The sequence below is a fragment of the Homo sapiens genome, chromosome 16 (assembly GCF_000001405.40).
Source record: "Homo sapiens chromosome 16, GRCh38.p14 Primary Assembly".
NCBI classification, from domain to species: domain Eukaryota; kingdom Metazoa; phylum Chordata; class Mammalia; order Primates; family Hominidae; genus Homo; species Homo sapiens.
The window spans coordinates 72,730,660-72,756,670 of NC_000016.10; the positions used below are offsets into that span (position 1 = coordinate 72,730,660).

At 39.0% G+C, this 26,011-nt stretch overlaps 1 long non-coding RNA gene across 4 annotated transcripts in view, besides 2 other annotated features; it reads left to right on the forward strand.

The window, feature by feature from the left end:
* ZFHX3-AS1 (ZFHX3 antisense RNA 1) overlaps positions 1 to 26,011 on the forward strand; it is a 156,522-nt gene that overhangs the window by 65,527 nt on the left and 64,984 nt on the right. For 3 of the 4 annotated variants that reach the window (NR_171702.1, NR_171703.1, NR_171704.1), the window contains one exon: positions 14,746 to 14,807. This is a non-coding gene — a long non-coding RNA (ZFHX3 antisense RNA 1). Of the gene's footprint in view, positions 1 to 14,745; positions 14,808 to 16,461; positions 16,524 to 26,011 lie in introns of all 4 variants that reach the window. The other variant, NR_171705.1, reaches the window with a different exon arrangement.
* Positions 5,127 to 5,708: an enhancer, noted in NCBI's record as "H3K27ac-H3K4me1 hESC enhancer chr16:72769685-72770266 (GRCh37/hg19 assembly coordinates)". NCBI's record gives its function as "activates a minimal SCP1, AML or CMV promoter by ChIP-STARR-seq in naive H9 embryonic stem cells {active_cell/tissue: H9 hESC(naive)}" and the evidence as "EXISTENCE:reporter gene assay evidence [ECO:0000049][PMID:30033119]".
* Positions 21,748 to 21,917: an enhancer, noted in NCBI's record as "experimental_44255 CRE fragment used in MPRA reporter constructs". NCBI's record gives its function as "activates a minimal promoter by MPRAs in K562 erythroleukemia cells, with activity observed for both the introgressed and non-introgressed 16:72786391 variant alleles {active_cell/tissue: K562}" and the evidence as "EXISTENCE:reporter gene assay evidence [ECO:0000049][PMID:34662402]".

Genomic DNA, 26,011 nt, shown 5'->3' on the forward strand with positions numbered 1-26,011 from the left:
AACATGCACATACTTTTTATTTTATTTTAAGTTCCAGGATACATGTGCAGGATGTACAGGTTTGTTACATAGGTAAATATGTGCCATGGTGGTTTGCGGTACCTATCAACTTATCACCTAGGTAATAAGCCTAGCATGCATTAGCTATTTATCCTGATGTACTCCTTCCCCTAAACATCCCCCACCCCTGCCAACAGGCCCCAGCGTGTGTTGTTCCCCTCCCTGTTTTCATGTATTCTCATTATTCAGCTCCCACTTACAAGTGAGAACATGCGGTATTTGGTTTCCTGTTCCTACATTAGTTTGCTGAGGATAACTGCTTCCAGCCCCGTCCATAGCCCTGCAAAGGACATGATCTCATTCCTTTTTATGGCTGCATAGTATTCCATGGTGTATATGTACCATGTTTTCTTTATCTAGTCTATCATTGCTGGGCATTTGGGTTGATTCCATGTCTTTGCTATTATTAATAGTGCTGCAGTGAACATACTCATGCATATATCTTTATAATAGAATGATTTCTATTCCTTTGTGTATATATCCAGTAATGGGATTGCTGGGTCAAATGGCTTTTCTGATTCTAGGTCTTTGAGGAAAGGAATTGCCACACTGTCTTCCACAATGGTTGAACTAATTTACATTCCCACCAACAGTGTAAATGCGTTCTCTCTCCACAGCCATGCCAGCATTTGTTGTTTCTTGACTTTTTAATAATTGCCATTCTGACTGGTGTGAGATGATATCTCATTGTGGTTTTGATTTGCATTTCTCTAATGATCAGTGATGTTGAGTGTTTTTTCATGTTTGTTGACCACATAAATGTCTTCTTTTGAGAAGTGTTTATTCATGTCTTTTGCCCACTTTTTGATGGGTTGTGTTTTTCTTGTAAATTTAAGTTCCTTGTAGATTTTGGATATTAGACCTTTGTCAGATGGATAGATTGCAAAAAAATTTCTCCCACTCTGTAGGTTGCCTGTTCACTCTGATGATAATTTCTTTTGCTGTGCAGAAGCTCTTTAGTTTAATTAGATACCATTTGTCAATTTTTGCTTTTGTTGCAATTGCTTTTGGCCACTGCATCATAAACTCTTTGCCTGTGCTTATGTCCTGAATGGTATTGCCTAGATTTTCTTGTAGGGTTTTCATAGTTTTGGGTTTTATGTTTAAGACTTTAATCCATCTGGATTTAATTTTTGTACAAGGTGTAAGGAAGGGGTCCAGTTTCAGTTTTTTTAATATGGCTAGCCAGTTCTCCCAGCACCAGTTATTAAGTAGGGAATCCTTTTCTCCATTGCTTGTTTTTGTCAGGTTTGTCAAAGATCAGATGGTTATAGATGTGTGGTCTTATTTCTGAGTTGTCTATTGTGTTCCGTTGGTCTGTGTGTCTGTTTCGGTACCAGTACCATGCTGTTTTGGTTAATGTAGCCTTGTAGTATAGTTTGAAGTCAGGTAGCGTGATGCCTCCAGCTTTGTTCTTTTTGCTTATGATTGTCTTGGCTATATGGGCACTTTTTTGGTTCCATATGAAATTTAAAGGAGATTTTTTTTTTTTCTAAATCTGTGAAGAATGTATGTCAATGGTAGTTTGATGGGAATAGCATTGACTCTATAAATTACTTTGGGCAGTATGGTCATTTTCATGATATTGTTTCTTCCTATCCATGAGTATGGAATGTTTTTCCGTTTGTTTGTGTACTCTCTGATTTCCTTGAGCAGTGGTTTGTCGTTCTCTTTGAAGAGATCCTTCACTTTCCTTGTTAGTTGTATTCCTAGGTATTGTATTCTCTTTGTAGCAATTGTGAGTGGGAGTTCATTCATGATTTGGCTCTCTGCTTGTCTGTTGTTGGTGTATAGGAATGCTTGTGATTTTTGCACATGGATTTTATATGCAGAGACTTTGCCTAAAGTTGCTTGTCAGCTTGAGAAGCTTTTGGGCTGAGACAATGCGGTTTTCTAGATACAGGATCATGTCATCTGCAAACAGAGACAGTTTGACTTCTTCTCTTCCTATTTGAATACCCTTTACTTCTTTCTCTTGCCTGATTGCCCTAGCTGGAACTTCCAGTACTATGTTGAATAGGAGTGATGAGAGGCCATCCTTGTCTTGTGCTGGTTTTCAAGGGGAATGCTTCCAGCTTTTGCCCAGTCAGTATGATATTGGTTGTGGGTATGTCATTAAATAATAATACCTTATTATTTTGAGGTATATTCCATCAATATCTAGTTTATTGACAGTTTTTAACATGAAGGGATGTTGAATTGTATCAAAGGCCTTTTCCATGTCTTTTGAGATAATTATGTGGTTTTTGTCTTTAGTTCTGGTTTTGTGATAAATTATATTTATTGGTTTGTGTATGTGGAACCAGCCTTGCTCCCGGCAGTGAAAAGGAGAATTCCCTCCTTTTCAATTGTCTGTAATAGTTTCAGAAGAAATGGTACTGGCTTCTCTTTATACTTCTGGTAGAATTCAGCTGTAAATCTGTCTGGTCCTGGGCTTTTTTCAGTTGGTAGGCTATTTGTTGCTGCCTCAATTTCAGAACTTGTTAGTGGTCTATTCAGGTATTCAACCTCTTCCTGGTTCAGTCTTGGAAGGGTGTATGTGTCCAAGAATTTATCCATTTCTTCTAGATTTTCCAGTTTATTTTCATAGAGGTGTTTATAGTATTCTCTGATCATTGTTTGTATTTCTGTGGGGTCAGTAGTGATATTCCCTTTATCATTTTTTATTGTGTCTATTTGATTCTCCTCTCTTTTCTTCTTTATTAGTCTACATAGTAGTCTATTTTATTAGGGTGTTTTTTTTAAAAAAAGCTCCTGGATTTGTTGGGGGTTTTTGTGAAGGGTTTTTGTGTCTCTGTCTCGCTCGCTTCTGCTCTCATCTTGGTTATTTCTTGTCTTCTGCTAGTTTTGGGGCTTGTTTGCTTTTGGTTCTCTAGTTCTTTTAGTTGTAATGGTAGGGTGTCAGTTTGAGATCTTTCTAGCTTTTTGATATGGGGATTTAGTCCTATAAATTTTTCTCTTAACACTGCTTTAGCTGCGTCCCAGAGATTCTGGTACATTGTCTCTGTGTTCTCATTGGTTTCAAAGAACTTCTTGATTTCTACCTTAATTTCATTATTTACCCAGGAGTCATTCATGAACAGGGTATTCAATTTCTGTGTAGTTGTGTGGTTTTGAGTGAGTTGCTGAATCTTGAGTTCCAACTTGATTGCCCTGTGGTCTGAGAGACTGTTATGATTTCAGTTCTTTTGCATTTGCTGAGGAGTGTTTTACTTCCAATCATGTGATTGATTTTAGAGTAAGTGCCATGTGGCAGCAAGAAGAATGTATATTCTGTTGTTTTTAGGTGGAGAGTTCTGTAGATATCTATCAGGTCCACTTGATCCAGAGCTGAGTTCAAGTCCTGAATATCTTTGTTAATTTGTTGTCTTGATCATCTGTCTAATATTGACAGCAGGGTGTTAAAGTCTTCTACTATTATTGTGTAGGAATCTAAGTTTCTTTGTAGGTCTCTAAGAACTTGTTTTTATGAATCTGGGTGCTCCTGTATTGGGTAATTATATATTTAGGGTAGTTAGGTCTTCTTGTTGAATTGAACCCTTTACCATTATGTAATGCCCTTCTTTGTCTTTTTAAAAAATATTTGTCTTTTAAAAAAAAATCTTTGTTGGTTTAAAGTGTGTTTGGTCAGAAACGAGGATTGCAACCCCTGCTTTTTTCTGCTTTCCATTTGCTCAGTAAATTTTCCTTGAGCCTATGCATACCTTTGCTTGTGAGATGGGTCTCTTGAATACAGCACACCAATGGGTCTTGACTCTATCCAGCTTGCCATTCTGGGTCTTTTAATCGGAGCATTTAGCCCATTTGCATTTAAGTTTAATATTGTTATTGTGAATTTGATCTTGTCATCATGATGCTTGCTGGTTATTTTGCAGACTTGTTAATGTAGTTGCTTCATAGTGTCATTGGTCTTTGTACTTCAGTGTGTTTTTTGTAGTGTCTGGTAATGGCTTTTCCTTTCCATATTTAGGAAAGGAATTCCTAAATTCCTTTCCTTCAGGAGCTCTTGCAAGGCAGGAGCTTCCTTCAGGAGCTCTTGCAAGGCAGGCCCGGTGGTGATGAATTCCCTCAGCATTTGCTTATCTGAAAAGAATTTTATTTCTCCTTCACTTATGAAGCTTAGTTTGGCTGGACATGAAATTCTGGATTGGAAATTCTTTTCTTTAAGAATGTTGAATATTGGCCCCCGCTCTCTTCTAGCTTACAGCATTTCTGCTGAGAGGTCCACTGTTAGTCTCATGGGCTTCCCTTGGCCTTTCTCTCTGGCTGCCCTTAACATTTTTTCCCTCATTTTGACCTTAGAGAATCTGATGATTATGAGTCTTGGGGTTGATCTTCTCATGGAGTATCTTACTGGGGTTTTCTGGATTTCCTGAATTTGAATGTTATTCTGTCTTGCTAGCTTGGGGAAGTGTTCCTGGATGATATTCTGGTTCCATTCTCTCCATCTCTTTCAGGGATCGGGGAGAACCTGAATCAGTCATAGGTTCAGTCTTTGTATATAATCCAGTAGTTATTGGAGGTTTTGTTCATTCCTTTTCATTCTTTTTACTCTAATCTTGTCTGCCCATCTTATTTCAGCAAGATAGTCTTCAAGCTCTGAAATTCTTTCCTCTGCTTGGTCTGTTCAGCTATTGATACTTGTGGTTGCATTGTGAAGTTCTCTTGTGTTTTTCAGCTCCATTGTGTCATTTATATTCCTCTGTAAACTGGTTATTCTTGGTAACAACTCCTGTAATGTTTTATTATAATTCTTAGCTTCTTTGCATTGGGTTAGAACATGCTCCTTTAGCTCAGCAAAGTTCGCTATTACCCACCTTCTGAAGCCTACTTCTGTCAGTTCATCCATCTCAGCTTCAGCCCAGTTCTGTGCCCTTACTGGAGAGGTGTTGTGATTATTTGGAGGAGAATAGGCACTCTGGCTTTTTGAGTTTTCAGTGTTTTTCCGCTGATTCTTTCTCATCTTCATGAATTTATCTAGCTTCAATCTTTGAGGCTACTGACCTTTGGATGGGGTTTTTGTGGGGACTTTTTTGATGATGATGATGTTGTTGTTGCTTTCTGTTTGTTTGTTTTTCTTTCAACAGTCAGGTCCCTCTTCCTTAGGGCTGCTGCCATTTGCCTAGGGTCCACTCCAGACCCTTTTCACCTGGGTCTCTCCTGCACCTGAAGGTGTCACTGGTGGAGGCTACAGAACAGCAAAGATAGCTGCCTGCACCTTCCTCTGGGAACCCCATCCCAGAGGGGCACCGACCTAATGCCAGCAGGAATGCTCCTGTATAAAGTGTCTGGTGACCCGTGTTTGGAGTTCTCACCCAGTCAGGAGGCACAGGATCAGGGACCTGCTTAACAAAGCACTCTGGCTGCCCCTTGCTGGAGGGGCTGCACTGCACTGGGGGGAATCCCACTTGTCTGGACTGCCTGGATTTGTCAGAGCCAGCAGGGGGAAAGACTAAGTCCACTGATCCATGGAGATCACGACCGCCCTTCCTCCCAGGGGCTCCATCCCAGGGAGATCAGAGTTCTGTCCCTAACTCCCTGGCTGGAGTTGCTGGAATTCCCACAGGGAGACCATGCCTGGCAAGGAGGGATGGGTCAGGGTCCAGCCTAAAGAGGCAGTCTGGCCACAGTCTTCTACAGCTGCTGTGCTGTGCTGTGGGGAATTCCTACTGGGTCCAAACTACCCAGTCTCCCTGGCACAGGCAGGGGAAAACAGCAGATTGGAGCTGCAGTCATGGCTGCTGCCCCTCCCCCCCAGGAACTCAGTAGTCTTAGGCAGTCTCCAGCTGAGCGACCACTGAGAATCTCCACAGACCCAAGGCCCTGGTGGGATGGGTTCCTGAGGGGATCTCCTGATCCACAGGTTGCACAGATCTGTGGGAAAAGCATGGTTTCCCGGGCGAAATAGCACAATCATTCACCATCTCATTTGGCTGGGGGTGGAAGTTCTCCTTGCCATGTGTGGCTCCCAGGTGGGCCGTCACTCCACCCTGCTTTTTTCCTTGCTCTCCGTGGGTCATGCCAACTGCCTAGTCAGTCCCAATGAGAGAACTTGGATACCTCAGTTGCCCGTGCAGGATTCACTTGTTTTCATTTTCAGTGGGAGCCTCTGACCGTACTTGTTTCTAGTCAGCCATCTTGGCCCCTCCCTGCCATATTTTTCAAGTGTTTGAACCAAAGGTATCTCTGTTTTTGAAACAATCAAAAGTCATTTGGAAATAAGTATAGTGACCAAGGTGGGGTTTTTTTGTGTTTGTTTTTGTTTTAAATAGAGGCCAGACATGATGATTCATGCCTATAATTCCAGCACTTGAGGGGGGCTGAGGTGGGCGGATTACATGAGCCCAGGAGTTCAAGACCAGCCTGGGCAACATGGTGGAACTCTGTCTGTACAAAACTCTTTCTGTACAAAAGTTAGCCAGTTGTGATGTCATGTGCCTGTGGTCTCAGCTACTCTGGAGGCTGAGGTGGGAGGATCACCTGAGCCCAGGGAGGTTGAGGCTGCAGTGAGCTGTGATTGTGCCACTGCATTTCGGCCTGAGTGACAAAGTGAGAGCCTATCTCAAAAAATAAAAAGAAAACAGAAAGAGATGGATTTTTAAAGTAATGAGACAAATTTTCTCCTATGGATTTTTAAACTGATACTGAAGGCACTCCAAAGGAGATTTGCTTTAAAAAAATGTATAGTACATTTAGTGGTGGAATAAATGTATAATTTCCCAATTATTACTATAAAGGAAAATATTCACTTTGTTGTATAAAAGTTAGTGTGCTTATCTAACCATCAGTAATATTATACATCCTCCCTTTTTAATGAAATTAAAGTTGAAAAATAAGTTACTAATTTATTATGATAATCTCTTGAATACATACTTAAAGAATGGAGATAGAAATATATTTAAAGACCAAAATTTGGTCTTTTATTCATTTTACTTAGCATTTACTGATATGTGTACCTCTTGGATGCTCCCACATCTTGTTGATTTCCCTTCTTTGTGTTACTATTTGCTTTTGTGTTCTATATTTCGATTGATTGTAGAGATGAAAGTCTCACTGTGTTGCCCAGGCTGATCACAAACTCCTGACCTCAAGCAGTCCTCCACCTTGGCCTCCCAAATGCTGAGATTATAGGCATGAGCCACCACACTCAACCATTTTTTTAAAACTAGCTTGTTAAAATGGAGAACAGGAGGGGAAGGACAAAAGCCAGGGTTTGTTAACTTTAGATGCTACCAAAGTGAGGGAGGGGACTTCATTTGGGTAATCTCAAATGTTTACATAGCTTTTCAAAGATGCATGCTTGCACTACCATTTTCTGTATTCTGTTGCAATTTCTTGATACCATTATTGAGTTTATTAATGGTCTCCTTACCATATTGTTTACCCATGTGTAGTTCAATAAGTACTGCCCTATGTGCTCATCCAATCAGCTTTCTTCTATCACTTTGTACTGCTCTGACATGGCGCTAAAAAAACCAAAAGCCTTTCGTAAAATAATTGTATGTGATGCATTGAACATTGCATTTTACTTAAAATACCCCCTTTTTTGGCAAATGAACCACATTGCAAATTTTTAAGCTGAAATTGCTAGCAGTGTTTCCAAGATAAACATGCTATTTATAGACAAAAATCTTTTAAATTATCAGTTAATGAATACCTAATGGGATATACATTTGCACAGTAATAAAATCACAAAAAGAGAATGATTAGTTGTTTTCAGTCAGTTAAGAAGGACTCTTGTGACTGGAGTCTACACCAGGAGCGGGACTGTCTTCCACCATATAGGTCCTAGGAATTAGGCATCTGTTTTCATTTCTTATAGTGAAAAGAGGTCTGAAACAATGTGTAATGTCCTAGAAATGAGACAGAACTGTTTGATGAGTTAAGAGCAGATAACTGGATGGATGGAGGTCAATGAGAACTGTAGTCTCTGCCTCTTGTTGAGAAGAAAATACTCTAGGAAAAACCTTCAGTCATCAGTTCAGCAAAAATAATTATAATTCCCACTGGAGATACTGAAAGGACCTGGGATCTCTTTGTCAAGTTCAACGTAGGATTTTCTTTTTTTAATACTTATTTTAAAATTAAAACTAAGGGAAACATTTTTGTTTAGCTTTTTTTTTTTTTTTCGAGATGGAGTCTCTCTCTGTGGTCCACGCTGGAGTTCGGTGGTGTGATCTCAGCTCACTGAAACCTCCACCTTTCGGGGTTAAGTGATTTTCCTGCCTCAGCCTCCCAAGTAACTGGGATGACAGCGTGTGCTACCATGCCTGGCTAGTTGTATTTTTAGCAGAGATGGGGTTTCACCATGTTGGCCAGGCTGGTCTCGAACTCCTGACCTCAAGTGATCCCCTCACTTCACCCTCCCATAGTGCTAGGATTACAGGTGTGAACCACCGCTGCAGGCCCCAACATAAGATTTTCTTAATGGTATTTTTTACCTAAGCCTCATTCTGCAAATGAAAACAAAAAATCATTTGGTAGAGGGGACACCAATAATTCAGTGTTTTTGAAATGCCATTACTTCTGAAAGTTCAGAGTTTGCTACCTGTATCTTCTACCGATTCCAAATATGTTGATTCTTGTCAAGCCCCAAGTGGGAGATGGAGGTGCTAATTCTTCAGGATAACACCAGGCCAGTGAAACTGGAATGGGATAAAATCCATAAAGAATTTATCCTAGTTCCTGGATAAGTCAGCAAAGAAAATGTATGAACATGAGATTGAATTCTCAACCCTAGATGTCATTCTCTCTTCAAATACCCAGAAAATTTCAAAGTAACTCTGGGTTATGAACAAAAAAGTTACGTGCTTTGACCAGCTATTTTTCATGTGTTAACCATGGTGTTCTCTTCTAGCTGTGCAGAGCAGTATAACTTGTACTAGTCTGAAAAGCAGAAATAAAAACCTTAGTGTTTATAAGGACATTTTTGGCAGATGAAAGCAGGAACTTTGTCTGTTGTGAATGGCAATAAAAACTTCAGAACTCATTGATACAACATATTTTGTTGCTCTTCTGTATTCTATCGAAAGTCCTTCTTACCAGTGCTTTGAAAGGAGTTTAGACAGTAACTAAGCACACAACTATGCCAAGAATTTTAATTGAGCTGAGGGCCTTCATACAAATAAGACTAAGACTTGTAATAGCAAATAGAATTCTTTGATTTGTAGGTGTTTTGATATAACCAGTTGATATGCAGATTAGTCCCCAGTGGGATATTGACTATTGAAGTATATGTAAGCACTTTCTAAATTATGAAGCATTACCAAATGTATCTGTTTTAGGTTTGCCCTATTCCTTTTGGCAAGTATAGTGGTCATTCATTCATTCAACAGATACTTACTACGTGCTTACTATGTGCCAACTACTTTTGTAAGTACTAGAGATATAGTAATGAATAAAACTTTATATTCATATGAGTAAATTTTTATACATAAAATAAAACATAAAAAATAGCCCAGGCATGGTTGCTCACACCTATAATTCTAGCACTTTATGAGGCCAAGATGGGAAGATGGCTTGAGGCCAGGAATTTGAGACCAGCCTGGTAAATAAATACAGTGAGACCCTGTTTCTATTAAAAAATAATAAAAATTAAAAATAACTTCAGGTAATGATACATGCTGTGAAGAGGAAAAATCAAGATATTTAGATAGTGTATGAGGAAGGGGGTAGGTTTTGAGTAGGGAAGAGGAGAAACATTTTACCTAGGTTGTTCAGGAAAAGTCAATCTGAACTAACACCTTAACTGAGACACGGTTCTTGAGAAGTCAGCCGTAAATTCTAAGTGGAGGGAACAAGCAGTGTGAAGATGCTGTGATAGGAAGAAGCTTGGTATGTTCCAGAATGACAAGACCAGGTTATGAAGTGAGCAAAGCTCATTGGAATTTGTAATCTCATGCCTGCAGAATGGCAAGTGAATGAGGGAAGATCAAATACACTAACTTTTCTTTATTTGTACATTTTTATTTTTGTTTTTGCATGAGTCTCTACATAGCTAGATGAAGCATGTTAAAGAAGAGAATTATCTTGACTGTTTTACTACTTTCCCCTAGTGTCCTAAGAAGTATTTTGCTACGAGCACCATGTCTCCATTTCCCCTCTTTATTCAGAAATATGTTCTTCAATTTTTGTTTGCCTTCTTAACAAAATTTACAAAGGAAATGCAGATTTTTTAATGCCTTTGCATGTAACCTTATCAAAGGAAATAGAAGAGAGGAAAACGCTGAAGAAATAGATACTATAGTGATTATATATGTTGAAGCAGATACTGCCTTTGTTATAATAGAGTCAGGCCATCATGGGCAGCTTAGTTAATTTCTCCTGAGCCTCAGTTTCCTCCTCTATAATATATGGAGGTAACTACTATTTACCTTATAGAATTACATGAGATCAAGCACATGAAGCGTTTAGCACAGTACTTGGCACATAGATAATGTTTATGGAGCACTTACTCTTTGTCTTTTAAAGACAGGGTCTTGCTCTCACACAGGCTGGAATGCAGTGGTACAACCTTGGCTCACTGCAGCCTCAACCTCCTGGGTTCAAACCATCCTCCTACCTCAGCATCCTGACTAGATGGAACTACAGGCTCACACCATCATTACTGGCTAACTCTTGTATTTTTTGCAGAGACGGGATCTCACTGTGTTGCCCAGGCTGGTTTCAAACTCCTGGGCTCAAGTAATCCTTCCACCTACACCTCCCAAAGTGCTGGGATTACAGGTGTGAGCTACCATGCCTGTCCTTACTGTTATATTATCATGAAGATCTTTATTCTTTCAAATCACCTCCCAGTAAACCTTTTCTGCAGACTTTTTCAAGTAGTTCTAATAAACTTTTATGCTGGCATCCCCCCTCCCCCAGCTTATGCCACTGTCCAGATATCTTTTTCTCTATTGTCCAGCTCAAAGACACTGTATGTTTATGAGACCATCTTTTGGTAACAAAAATGCCAGGAATCAATGATTTATTAAAATCCTAGTATTAATTCAGGCTCCTGTCAATCTTCTGACAAAGCCTATACATACTGTGTAGCTATACCAAAGATTCCATAGCATAGGTGAAAATGCCTGAGTATATAGCCCTTGATCTCCTGAGCTACATTTGGCCAGTCTCCAGTCATTCCTTTCTATCTAATTAATGACATTCCTGGCATATGGGGATTATATAGCACAGAATGTGTCCACATTCTGCCTGTGAAAACCCACTTTGTTCTCCATCTGCAAAAAGGCAACCTCTGCTTTTCATTTCTTTATTGTGTCATTTTTTAATGTCATTGTTCTGTCTCCCTCTCTCTTCCTTCCCTCTCTCTCTCTCCTCCTTTTCTTCTTTCCTTCCCTTCCTCTCTCCCTCTTTCCCTCTCTTCCCTTCCCTCACCGCTTCCACCCTTCCTAGTAAAGGGAAGAGGGATGCACCTTGGGCATTGGTCTTAGAGGAGGAAACTAACATCATCACTTAAACTGATTCTAGAAGTTTTCTTGAAACTCAAAAATGATTTGCTCCAGTAATGCTGACATCACAATCCCCTGAGAAGACCATCACCAGTTTTCTACTACATTTTAGCTTCTACTATTTTTGTTGTCTATTATGCTTTTTTTCTTCAAAATTAATCTCAAATCTTACTTCTACTAAATCTTACTAACTCTGGACTTGATCGATCCCCTGCTACTCAACACTTATGCTGTTGCATACTTTTTGCTACTTAATTCATATTACTGAACCTGGTACATAAATTAAAGGCTTGTATCTCCAATTAGATTGTAAGTTTACTCAGAGCAGGGATTGTGTCATATACATTTATAGTATCTCACTGTTTTTATCTTCCCCTACCCCAACTATAATCATACTTTTTTTAAACACCTGAACATTCCTTCTTCCTTGGCAATAAGGGTATGTTAGCAAAGCTCTATAACCTTTTTTTGTTTTTTCCTCTGACACTGACATTCTCAGGTGAGAGTTCTATAACTTGAGCAAAATCAAAGACAGTGGTATATTTTGTAACATTAGAGATACTACACGGGGCAAAGCTTAGCTGTTACTGCAAGAAGCCTATCTACAATAATAGATTCAGGCTAATTTGAATGCCTCAGTCTATATCTTATTTCATCCCCAATTTATTTATTTTTTAATTTCAACTTTTATTTTAGATTCAGGGGGTACATTTGCAGGTTTATTACATGAGTATATTGTATGATGCTGAGGTTTGGGTACCACTGATATTGTCACCCAGGTAGTGAGTATACTACCCAATAGGTAGTTTTTCAGCATTCCACCCTCACCTCCCATCTTTTGGAGTCTCCAGTGTCTGTTGTTGCCATCTTTATGTCCGTATGTACCCATTGTTTAGCCCCCACTTATAAGTTAGAACATGTGGTATTTCGTTTCTGTTCATGCATTAATTTGCTTAGGATAATGGCCTCCAGCTGCATCCGTGTTACTGCATAGGACATTATTTTGTTCTTTTTTATGGCTGCATAGTATTTCGTGGTGTATATGTACCACATTTTCTTTATCCAGTCCACTGTTGATGAGCACCTAGCTTGATTCTATGTCTTTGCTGTTGTGCTGAGATGAACATACAAGTGCATGTATCTTTTTTGTTGAACGATTTATTTTTCTTTGGGTATACACTCAGTAATGGGATTGCTAGGTCAAATAGTAGGTCTATTTTAAGTTCTCTGAGAAATCTTCAAACTGCTTTCCACAGTGGCTGAACTAATTTATATTCCCAGCAACTATGTATAAGGATTCTGTTTTCTCCACAACCTCACTGGCGTCTGTTGTTTTTTACTTTTTAGTAATAGCCATTCTGACTGGCCTGAGATGCTATCTCATTGTGGTTTTGATTTGCATTTCTCTGCTTAGTGGTGTTGAGCATTTTTTCGTGTTTGTTTCACTTCAGATTTCTGAGTGAGTTTAGAACATCTGAGCATCAGAAGCAAACCTTGGAATAGTCGAACCAACCCCCAAATAAAATAAAAATAATTAAAGAGGCTTTTTTGTTTCTCCTCTTAAATGCATTCAATTCATTTAGCTTCTCATTTATATCATCACTGACAAAGAATAAATGCTAGTTGTTGAGGTTAAAAAAATTTTTGTTGTTGATAGCTCTAGCAATTTGGTTAGAAAAATTAGGGAAAATTCAGGACTAAGAAAATTTAGAGACTGTGATTTTCATTTATCCACTCCTTCACTTCATTAATTATGACAAACCATAAAAATGGATTAATGGATAAAAGGATGATCACTTTGTATCATCAGAAGAAAATAATTGCTAAAAAATTAGAGATTTAAAAACAAAGAGGATGATAGTGAGCTCTGTTATTTAAACCAAAGAATATCATTGAAATCCTAAATAAACAAGCCATCCAAGAGAGGAATATATCTATATTTGGTAAGTGCATCCTGCTATGTATAAGTTCAAAAAGGAAGAAGGTTAGACAGTGCTGGGAGAGGAGCCTTGTATACCTGGATGTGCTCTATTAAAAGAGGCGCTTGATTGCTCAGTAATTGCAGAGCTAGGCTCTTGGGGAGGCTTTTGTCATCCCTCCTTGGCTGACACCAGACGATAGTGTGGCTCTGTGATAAGAAACAGAGGACCAGTGTCTCCATGGTAACTAACTGAGCTCTATATCTTACACCTCATTACAAATGAGGATAGATAGTAAAAAAAAATATATATATATATAAACACCAAGAGTGAATATATATATGTGTGTATGTATACTTCCTGTCTTCTATCTAGAAAGTGAGTAGAATAAATTTTTTCAAAATGTGATTGCATTGAAAGGATAAAGTTGATAGGCCTTTTTTCCCCATTGGTGCAGGTAAATATTTCATTTTTCAGTTCCTCTGATGGTTTTGTTCTGAACCCACCCAGCTGTAGCTTGAAAGATTAATAATGGGCAGCAAAAGAATGTGAGAAGAGGTGGTGAATGAATAGAAACCAGCATCAGAGAAGAAAGAGTATTGCCTGGCCTTTGGGACAAATAAATAAGGATTTACTAAGTCTGCTAGTTTCATCCCCATAACAGGAAAACCTGGAACCCATTAGAATGAAAACCTGGAGTTTTATAATGTAATGATTCCTAGAGTTCCAAACCTACACAGACTGTTGACAAGAAAAAAGAAAGAGGGACAGAAAATCAGCAGTTTCTAATTTTCTCTTCTGTAGGTATTGATTTTACTTTAACACAACTAACTTTACTATGCCTCTCCTCACATAAGACCATTACACTTATGTGTTGATCTTTATAAGGTTAAACACGTTTCCTGAAATCTTAGCCTGCCCGTGTCATACATTTTAAAGAAAAAGACCAAATTAAAGAAGTCATCAGTGAGTGAACTATTAAGTAGAAATTAAAACTTTTTATTCAAGACACAGGATGCAAATATTTGGTGAGAGAACAAAGACCTTAGGAGCTTTTTGGAACCATTATATTAGCTTCAATTTATTAGTCCATCTGCTCATAGATAAATGACTTTAAACTCTGAAGCAAGGACCCTTAGTAGCCCAGCAGGGACTTCTGTTGATATTGAAGGCTGATTCCTTCCCTCACTGGGTCTGTTTCTCAATCACTAATTTCTGAACAAGTATTTGGGTCATTGCTAAAAAGGGCATACATGTAGTTTTAAAACAAAAATAGCTCTTTGATCTAAGTAACATAATTTTCTACCTTTTAGGTCCTTCTTACTGATGTGTTGCTCTTCTTCATGGCTCGTGAAAACTATTAGAGTCATCCAAGGTAAGCGCATTGCACAGGGGTGACAAAAAAATGGGTGGGGTGGTGGGGGAGAACATAGGTATATACCCAAGAGGAATGAAAACATACTTTCACACATAACTTGTGCACAAAAGTTCATAGCAGCATTAGTCATAATAGCTAAAAAGTAGAAATATTCATCAACTGATGAGTAGCTAAATATAATGTGTTATGTCTTTATAATGGAACATTATTTGGCAATAAAAAGGAATGAAGTACTGATACACAATACCACAGGGATGAACCTTGAAAACATTATGTAAGTGGAAGAAGCCAGTCATGAAAGACCACTTATTATATGATTCCACATATAAGAAGGGAAGTGGGGGTGACTACTAAAGGATATGGGGTTTCTTTTGGCGATGATGAAAATGTTCTCAATTAATTGTGGTGATGGTTGCAAAACTCTGAATATACTAAAAAACGTTGAATTGGACATATTAAGTGGATGAATTGCATGGTATGAGAAATTTGAGGATTTTATCTCAAAGTTATTATTAAAAAAGGGGGTGTAGGTGAGGAGGAAGATGGTGATCCACAACTCGGATGACCATATGTTCTGATTGCCCCAAATAACCAGTATTTTTTTACCAGGTGTGCCAGTGAATTGTTAATAGCTCTGACTTAGCTTTCAAAAGTGTCCTGTTTTGATGATAAACTATATGGTCACCATATGTGTAACCAGAAGTACTATGATCTTCTGCAATGTATCTTAAAGTTATCTAACCAAGATAACACTTGGGGTTCTGTTAAAGGTAAATATCCCTGTGTTCCTCCCATGGATCTTAATTCAGTAAGTCAGAGGTGGAAACTGGTATTTTGTATTTTTAACAGTTATCTATGATGATTCTTATGAATTTTTGGCATTCACTGTTCTACTTGTTAAAAAAAAAAAAAACAGGTGAACAAATTACCTTTTGGGGAAATATAATTCCAGGGAGGTATGAGAAGGCTATTGTAGGAAATTTGCTGTGGAAGGCTAAAAATGAATTCTGACAAGGATCAAGAGAACAATGGGAATAACATAAGGACACTGATGGTTCTAAGAAATATCCTTATGTCTTCTAAGATTAAAAAAAAAAACCACATCAGGCCAAGCGCGGTGGGTCAAGCCTGTAATCCTAGCACTTTGGGAGGCCGAGGCGGGTGGATCATGAGGTCGGAAGATCGAGACCATCCTGGCTAACACGGTGAAACCCCGTCTGTACTAAAAGTACAAAAAAATTAGCTGGACGTGGTGGCGGGCGCCTGTAGTCCCAGCTACTCGGGAGGCTGAGGCAGGAGAATGGCGTGAACCCGGGAGGTGGAGCTTGCAGTGAGCGGAGATTGCGCCACTGCACTCCAGGCTGGGCGACAGAGCGAGACTCTGTCTCAAAAAAAAAAACAAAAAAGAAACCACATCAATTATTTGGTAAGAATGAGTGAGGATTAATACCAGTAATGGTTTACCTGTAAGTTTCTTCTCCAAAGTGGCCAAAGGTAGAGGCAAAGTGGGTTCTGGGGTATCCCTGATTATTGTCATTCTGCCTTAGGTCCTGACATCCACTGCCTTCACTCAAACCCTTCTGGCCAGTTCCATCCTACAGATTCTAAGTTCCTGACTCAGAATCTTACTGTTGTGAACCTTTACACCCAGGTTTGGAGACAGAAAGGAGCACCGCCAAGTGAGGCAGAGCAGTCTCAGAAACATAGGAAAATGTAAGAAACTTAAGACTTGGAACAGTTTTTTGTTGTTGTTTTTTTTTTTTTTTTTTTTTTTTTTTTAATTAGAAGAGGAACAAAGGACATTGGGTCACAGTTTCTAAAATAAACATGAGCATTAGGGCATATATAATAGCACAATATGAACCAAACTGATAAAAAGCAGTGTCACAATATCTATGATATACATTTATGGCTTATATGAATTGAACATTAACTTCAGTTTAAGGATGCTTAGTCTTCATTGTTCATAGGGAAGAAGTCTTCACAGTTTCAAAGCCTAGAATGAAAATTGTGCAGGCCGGGCACGGTGGCTCACGCCTGTAATCCCAGCACTTTGGGAGGCCGAGGCAGGCAGATCACCTGAGGTCAGGAGTTCGAGACCAGCCTCAACATGGAGAAACCCCGTCTCTACTAAAAATACAAAATTAACCGGGTGTGGTGGTGCATGCCTGTAATCCCAGCTACACGGGAGGCTGAGGCAGGAGAATTGCTTGAAACTGGGAGACGGAGGTTGTGGTGAGCCAAGATTGCGCCATTGCACTCCAGCCTGGGCAACAAGAGCAAAACTCCGTCTCAAAAAAAAAAAAAAAAATTGTGCTGGAGACGCCTAGACAGTCCCACATGTGTAGAATCGTCATAAAATTTCTTAAGGAGGAAAAAGTCATTACTAACCTGTTCTCTCATTTAGCCAGATTGCTTTAATTCATATCCTTTTTTCCTGCTTTAATCAATCAAGAAAACGCTCTCCTGCAGATTCAGAGCTCAGAAGTGTACTCTTCCTTGCTCCTGTCCATGCCCAAGCCTCTTGATCTCTGGGGAAAAGGTTGACATCTGAGGAGATTTCTTTGTTTCACTTTGTTCCAGCAAACTGTTTGTAATAGTCAGGCTTTTGACTGAAATTTGAGTCTTCTTTCTGTCCCTTAGGTACTGTCTAAAATTTTTCAGTGTTTTAAAAAAGATTTCTAATTAGTTGAGGGACCTCCAGGGTGAATAATACTATTATTAAATAAATGAATACAAATTAAACTTTTATGGTTTCTAAGCTACTGCTTTTTTTTTTTTTTTTTTTTTTTGAGATAGAGTCTTACAGTGTTGGCTAGCAGGCTGGTCTTGAGCTCCTGTGTTCAAGCAATCCTACGTCAGCCTCCCAAATAGCTGGGCCTACAGGCATGTGCCACTACACCCTATGCTGCTGCTTTTTAATGGAATGTTTAATGCATAAGTTTTAGGCTCCAATACAATATTAGTAAGACTTATTAACTTAGCAGATCAATGTGGCAATATTATTTATCCCAGGAATGTTCAGGTGTTCGTGTGTGGTGTGTCTATATGATTGGAAACCCATCAACTGGCTGTGAAAGCAGCAGTTTAGGATTGCCCAAAAGACAAAGATTTGGAAAAGCTTTAAAAAGTTTTGACCACAAAGGTCATAAATTTTAGTCTAGTGATGCAGATTTACTGGATCCTGATGAGCAACAGGAGTGAAAAGCATTTTCTAGAAGAAAAACCTGTGGTGATTTCTAGGTAAAGGACTTCAGATGAGATCCTGAAGTAATAACATATTGGCAGCTTTAGTAGACTCACAAACATGAGGTTAGGCAGCGATCTAAGGTGATAGACAGATGACATCAGAAACAAAATAAGTACTAGGCAAGGCCATAGCCTTGAATTTTTATTAGAGTTAGGAATTGAGGATATTCTGAACCCCGAGGATTTCAACCAAGAGAAAGAGTAGCAAGGCAATTTAGTTTAAAAAATAATTCTGATGTATATTGGGAAGGATTTTATTCAACTTAAAATCAGAAAAACAACCACTAATAGTTTATGTGATGCTTCTTCTAATTCTTACCTGGTATTTTAGTTCTAGGTTCCTATTAAGGTTCAATAAACCGCGACAATTGACCAAGGGCTGGGCTGTGATAAAGTCTTCCATTTTAAACAAATACAAATAACATTGAACCAGAAAGAGACATCAAGTCCATTTAAGGCATTGGTGTGTTTGTACAAGACCTGGGTTATGTAGGAATAGCAGTAAAGAACAAAGCCTCAGACATCTGATAGACATTGCTTTTACTTCCTTTTTATGTGACTTTAAGTGGGCCTATGACTTAATCTATTTGACCTTTACTAGGCCTATAGTTATCTTTAGTACATATTGCCAGTTTTCTAAGTGGTTTTACCATTTTACATTCCCACCAGCAATTTTTTAGAGTTTTAGTGTCTCCACATCCTCACCAACATTCAGATGAGGGGATGGTGGTTTCTCATTGTGATTTTAGTTTGTATTTCTGTGATGACAAACGGTATATATCACCTTTTCATATGTTTATTGGATTCTTAGATATCATATATTGTAAGGTGCCTTTTCCGATTTCTTGCCTATTTTTTAAAATGAGGTTAGGTTTTTGAGGGTTGGTTGGTTGTTTTTTTGTTTTTTGTTTTTTTTTGTCTCTTTTATTGATTAGTAGTTTAAAAGAAAGTATATTCTAGAATATGAGTTCTTTACTGGATATGCATCATGCAAATATCTTCTTCCAGTCTGTGGCTTGCTGTTTTACTCTCTTAATGGTGTCTTTTGATGAACATAAGTTTCTAATTTTAATATAGTCACATTTATCAGTTTTTCCCTTTATGTTTAGCACTTGTATGTCTTTAGCACTTGTATTTTAAAAACTTTTGTCTACCCTAAGGTATTTTATAATATTTCAGCAGCTTTATTTCAAAGTTTAAATCTTTAATCCATTGAGAATTTGTTTTAGTAAGAGATATGAGGTAGGGACCCAATTTTATTTTTTTCCAAATGCTTTTAAACTTCTCTGAAAACATTCCTCAATTAATATTTTAAACTCCACCTTTAGGGTGTTTTCAATCACAATAATCATAAGTTTATGATATAAAACACTCCAATACTTAGCAATGTTCAATGAAATATTAAAACACCAAAAGACACAATCTCAGAAACAGATAAATCTCTCAGTGAACCAAATATAGAACAGAAAAGCAAAACAATGAGTGGAGCTGAAGTCAAAGGGCTTCTGTGTTGTGGGTTTCTTGTTTTTTTAAGGGGCAGTATTTGCTGGGAGTTTAGCTGCTATGAGATAAGGAGTACTTAAAGTATATGAACAAGGGGCATGAATCCTGATTTCCATATGAAACCAGGGGCCGGGGAAAAGGATCTTCTTCTCATGAAAAAAGGCAAAAAGGCTAGGGGAAAACAAAGTTTCTGGTCACTACACTGGGCTGTGACTTTAGAAAACTTCAGGGTACATTTGAAGGAAGGTACATCCTCGTAATCAGAACAGAAGTGGTTGTCTGTGAGCTTTGTGACAGCATCAGGTTTATCTCCATTGTCACCCTGGGACAAGAATCTTAATATACCTTTATCAGACCTCATCTGGATTGGAGTGATCATGACTTGCGTAGATATAAACACAAGACTACCTGGCCAAGGTCTGGGTTGAATACCGAGGAAGAGAGAGGAGGAAAAACAATACACAACAGGCCAAAATTCCATGCCTGTCGATCAGGTATTCCTTAAATCCCTGGTTAGTGGTGCTGGCTGAGGCCCTGAGGAAAGGAAAGGCAAACCTACATCTGGAATGGATACCAATTGCTGTGAGGAAAAAAACCAAAACAAAACAAAACACCGTGGACCCTTCGAGGATAAAAGGAGCCCAACATAATCAACTTTCCATCTAATGGCTGGTTGTCACATTGGAGGCTCAGCACTGATATGTGTTGCTGGCAAGTGGGACACTCAGAGACAACCGTAGCTATATCAACCTTGGTGAGTGAAAGCCCATGCCACTGAGTCCATGTATAGCCTCCATTTCTGCCTCTCTGGTCACTTCATTCATGGGCCATTGTGCTGGGGTGGCCAGTGACAAAAACTGGCTAATATTAACTCACCAAGTCATTTTGTTTACTTGATTGTTTAATGCTCCTTCCATGATAATAATTTCATTTTAATGACGTTTTCAGGGGCCAGGTGTTGTGGCTCAGGCCTGTAATGTCAGTGCTTTGAGAGGCCAAGGTAAGAGAATTGCTTCAGGCCAGGAGTTTAAGACCAGCCTGGGCAACATGCCAAGACCCTTGTACCTTTGTAATGAGCATTAGTGTGTGATACAACAATCTTTGTACTTCATTCATGTCAATTCTCATAGGCCTATCTACATGCTGGTACCCCAGAAGTCCTTGTCTCTGTATCTTTCAGTCCTCCGTGTTTCTGACTAGTAGGCCAAGCCATTTGTCACTGCCCATGAATCCATACATACTCTCGTCACAAGCCCACTCCTTCCACACAAGGTGGATGACCATTGCCTGAACTGGGACCATCAGAAAGATTTTCCCTCTCCACTGTCTTTCAAGGCCACCCGTCAATGAAGTTGTAATGCAGCTGCCATTCATTTTTGGCTTGAGTAACCTATTCATTACCTCAAAACCCAGGCTTTGTCTACCTCCTTCACATGGTTGTACATATGTGTGTATATATAAATGTGTGTACATAGGTTATGGTATGTAGGCCATAGGTGTGACTTAGGGAAGAATTCTGGGTGAACTGTGGTGGATGATGGGGGGGTCCGCTCATGCAGCTTACATGTGCCCCGTGGTCCTGCTCGTGATTATCCTGTATGTAGTATTTCTATTTTATAATAGATTATTGGCAAGCCATCTTAACTTTATGACTTACTGAGTTCAGCAGTTCTGGACATACGGTCACTAAGTGTCACATGGTCAAATTTCCATCTCTGTCAGGTCCCAGTATCATATCAGAAGCTGTTTTTGTTTTGTTTTGTTTTTGAGATGAAGTTTTGCTCTTGTTGTCCAGGCTGGAGTACAGTGGCACAATCTTGGCTCACTGCAACCTCTGCCTCTGGGGTTCAAGCGATTCTCCTGCCTCAGCCTGCCCAGTAGCTTGGATTACAGGCATACACCACCATGCCCAGCTAATTTTGTATTTTTAGTAGAGACAGGGTTTCACCATGTTGACCAAGCTGCTCTTGAACTCCTGACCTCAGGTGATCCACCCACATAGTCCTCCCAAAGTGCTCGGATTACAGGCGTGAGCCACCACCTGGCCCAGAAGCTGTTTTTTAAAAGTCATATAATTTTATGCTATAGATGTCACAGACCCCAGGTTCTGCACTGTGATTCTTCCTCTAGAGTTTACTATAAACACACTGCCCTTTTTATCAAAACTGATACATATAATACCATAGGGTCTGCTGGATTGTATGACTCAAGTGGCTGGGCGACTTGCATCACAGCCTGTACCTTCTAAAGAGCTCTTGTTCCCAGCCCCACTCAAAGCTGGCAGCCTCTTATATTGCCTGATACGTACGTAGGTGAGCTCAGTATACCTAGTTGTGGAATGTGTGGCCTCCAGAACATAAGGAGGCTTAATAGGCATGTGTCTCCTACAAATAATGAAAGTATTGCCTCTTCCTTTCCAATTTAAGACCCCATTTTTCTTTCTCTTCCCTAATCGCATTTGCTATTCCTTCCATGACAGTGCTAAGTAATAGTAGTGAAAGTGAACTACTAAAAATTTATTGGCCTGGTGCATTTTGAGGTGTAGCTTTCTGACGATCAAAATTTTTTTTGTATCATAATTTGTCCATTTAGATTTGCTGTCTTCTCTGGAGCTAGATTTTTATTATTTATATTTTCCTAAAAATACATCCATTTTAATAATGGTTTCAGGGGCCAGGAGCTATGGCTTATGCCTGAAATCTCAGTGCTCTGAAAGGCCAAGATAGGATAATCTCCAGAGGCCAGGAGCTGAAGACGAGTTTGGGCAACATAGCAAGACTCTGTCTCTACAAAACAATTTAAAAATTAGCTGGGCGTGATGGTACACATGTGTAGTTTCAGCTACTTGGGAGGCTGAGGCAAGAGGATCACTTGAGCCCAGGAGTTCAAGGCTGCAGTGAGCTATGATCATGCTGTTGCACCCCAGTCTACGTGACAGAGACTCTGTCTTAAAATAAATAAATATGTAGAGTTGAGAAAAGCAATCAGTTATAATTTGTTTTATATTTTATCTGAATCTGTTCTCTCCACATTCTAATTTTTTTTTGTTTATTTATGTTTCTTTTTTCTTGTTTAAACTACTTATTAGCTAAATGGTTTGTTGGTGCCCTCCAATTTCTTGAATTGGAAACTTAAACTTTTATTCCTATGTGAATAACATAAATGAACATAAATATTTAACTAATGTTACATATTATCCTCTGGTTATCTATAACTTCTGATAAATCTTTTTCTGCTATCTTTTTTTTTAAAGAAATTGTGTAATTTTGGACTTGATTTCCTTTTGTCCTTTGTTAAGAAAGTTGTAAAAATATTTCTAGGGTGTTTTTCCCCATTTGATCAGATAATTTTATCTGTACTAGTTTTATGATACTTTGTGGAATGTATTGTTTTTTTAAGGGCTAATATAGAGTTAACTTTTGTAAATGTCCCAAAGTTCTTAAAATATATGTATGTGTAATATGAATATAATATGTATATTAGATACATATTTAAAATGAATATTACAAATTGTTTAAAAAATTTAACTTTCTTAAAACTTAAAATTACTTAAAAAATTTAAAGACATTTTTATCAAGAACACTTTTTGCCATCATTGGATTGCTAAACCTTCATTGTGGTTGTATTAATTCTATTTCTGTATAACAAATTACCCCCAAACTTAGCAACATCAAACAACAAACATTTATTATTTCAGTTTCTTTGGATCAGGAATCTAGGCTCAGCTTAGTTGTGTCCTCTGGGTCAGTCTCTCTCACAAGGCTGCAATTAAGGTATCAGCCAGGATTGCAGTCATCCTAAGGTTCAACTAGGGGAGGATCTGCTTACAAGCTTACTCTCCTGGCTCTTGGCAGGCCTCAGATCCTTACCGACTGTTCAACAGAGACGTGAGTTCCTGCCCAGGGACATGTAGGCCTCTCTGCCAGGCAGCCTACAGTGTGACAGTTGGTATTCCTTAGAGGGAGTGAGGGAAAAAGCAAGAGAGAATTTAAGCAAGATGGAAACCAGTCTTTTTATAACTTAACATGGAACTGACATCTCATCATTTTTGCCATATTATTTTGGTTAGAAGAGTCAGTAGGTACAGTGCATAATCAAGGGGAGAGGATTGCCTAGGGCATAAATACGAGAAACTGTGGAATTCCGGGGACTATTTTAGAGGCTGTCTACTCTAGTCTTCCTTCTGTCCCCAGTGATCATGTTCCTCATCCATGCAATACTCTCATCCTCCTTCCCAGTCCCCCAAAGTCTAATCCAATTATGATCAGCTTAAAGTTCAGAATCTCATCACCTAAATAATGTCCAGGTGTAGATGAGGCGCCTCAGGTGTAGTTCCTCTGCAGCTCTGCTCAATCTGTAAAAGTCCTCCCCAACCAAGCCCAACATACAGTAGTGAGACAGACAAAGGATAACCATTTTAGACATTTTTGTTTTAGAATAGAGGAAATGGGAGGCATAAAGGTCCAGTGCAATTCTGAAAGCCAGTTACTCCAATGTGAGAAATTGTTTGTTTTTTGAGACAGGTTCTTACTTTGTTGCCCAGGTGAAGTGCAGTGGTACAATCATGGCTCACTGTAGCCTTGACCCGCTGGGCTCAAGCGATCATCCTACTTCAGCCTCCCGAGTAGCCTGAACTACAGGCACATGCCACAATGCCTGGCTAATTTTTATATTTTTTGTAAAGACAGGGTTCTGCTATGTTGCCCAGGCTGGTCTTGAACTCCTGAGCTCAAGCAATCCACCCACCTCAGCCTCCCAAAGTGCTGAGATTACAGGCATGAACCACCACTCCTGGCCTTCCAGTGTTAGAAGCTTTTTGATTAGGTCTCAAGACCTAGGAATTATTCTTCATGGCCTTCAGCTCTGCTCCTTGGGCTCAGGTTTCACTCTCAGAGTTACCTTTCCTTTTGCAAGAAAGGTAGCACATGCTACAGTTGAGAAATCGCCTCGACCTTCTTTACTTGTCATTCATATTGGCAGTCTAATAGTCTTTTTTCATTTCATGCTGTACTTTTCATTCTGTGCTTTTCAGTTCAAGCTGGCTGAGTTCTTCCTGATAAAATTCTTGCAAAAACCTTGTGGGCTTCCTGTGACTCTTATTAGGGTTTACTCCATTACACAAAAGTCAAACCAGAAATCTTTTCTCGATAAGTCTTTCTTTACCTTCGGTTCCTGCTTAAAAGTTTGAGGGTCAAGGCACATAAGTTTTCTGAAGGCCTTACTGTTTGAGAGGATCTATGAAGCATACCCTTAATCTTTTTCAAAGGCCCTTTGTGTGACTGAATAGTACTCTGATGGTACCACTTTTTACCTTTCTTAATATAACAGAAGTTTTTACAGTCACATTCTTAGTGTCATCTTTAGACCAGGGTTCTCCTGGTGGTGCCCACAGTATGAACTTTTCTTGGGAGCTATTTCTATTTTTTTTTTGAGATGGAGTGTCATTGTTGCCCAGGCTTTAGTGTGGTGGTGCATTGTTGGCTCACTGCAGCCTCTGCCTCCCGGGTTCAAGCAATTCTCCTGCCTCAGCCTCCCAAGTAGCTGGGATTACAGGGACATGCCGCCACGCCCAGCTAATTTTTCTATTTTTAGTGGAGACGGGGTTTTACCGTATTGGCCAGGCTGGTCCTGAACTCCTGACCTCAGGTGATCCACCCACCTTGGCCTCCCAAAGTGCTGGGATTACAGGCATGAGCCACCATGCTCGGCCGGGAGCTATTTCTTAATGTTAGCATCTTCTAAATCTGGAGAGTTTAGAATTTTCAAAAACATCAAGTCCTGATTTCTTAAAAAATTTTAAAAATTGTGGTAAGATACACATAATATTTACCATCTTAACCATTGTTAAGTGTACTGTTTACTGGTATTAAGTACACTCATATTGTTATGCAAACATCATCACCATCCATCTTCACAATACTTTTCATCCTAAAAACTGAAACTCTGTACCCATTAAATAGCAACTCCCCATTCCTTCCTCCAGCTCTTGACTACCACCATTCTACTTTTTGTCTCTATGCATTTGACTACTCTAGGTACCTGATATCAGTTGAATCATACAGTATTTGTCTTTTAGTTACTGGTTTACTTCACTTAGCATAATGTCCTCAAAGTTCATCCAAGTAGTAACATGTCAGAATTTCCATCTTTTTTAAGGCTGAATAATATTCCATTGTGTATGTATGTATGTATGTGTATGTCTCTCTCTCTCTCTCTCTATATATATATATATATGTATACATATATGTATATGTGTGTGTATATACACACCCCACATTATTCACCTATCAATGGATACTGAAGTTGCTTCTACCATTTGGCTATTGTGAATAATGCTGCTATGAACATGGGTGTACAAATGTCTCTTCAGGACTCTGCTTTCAATTCTTTGGGGTATATACCCTCAAGTAGAATCACTGGTTCATATGGTAATTCTGGTTTTAATTTCT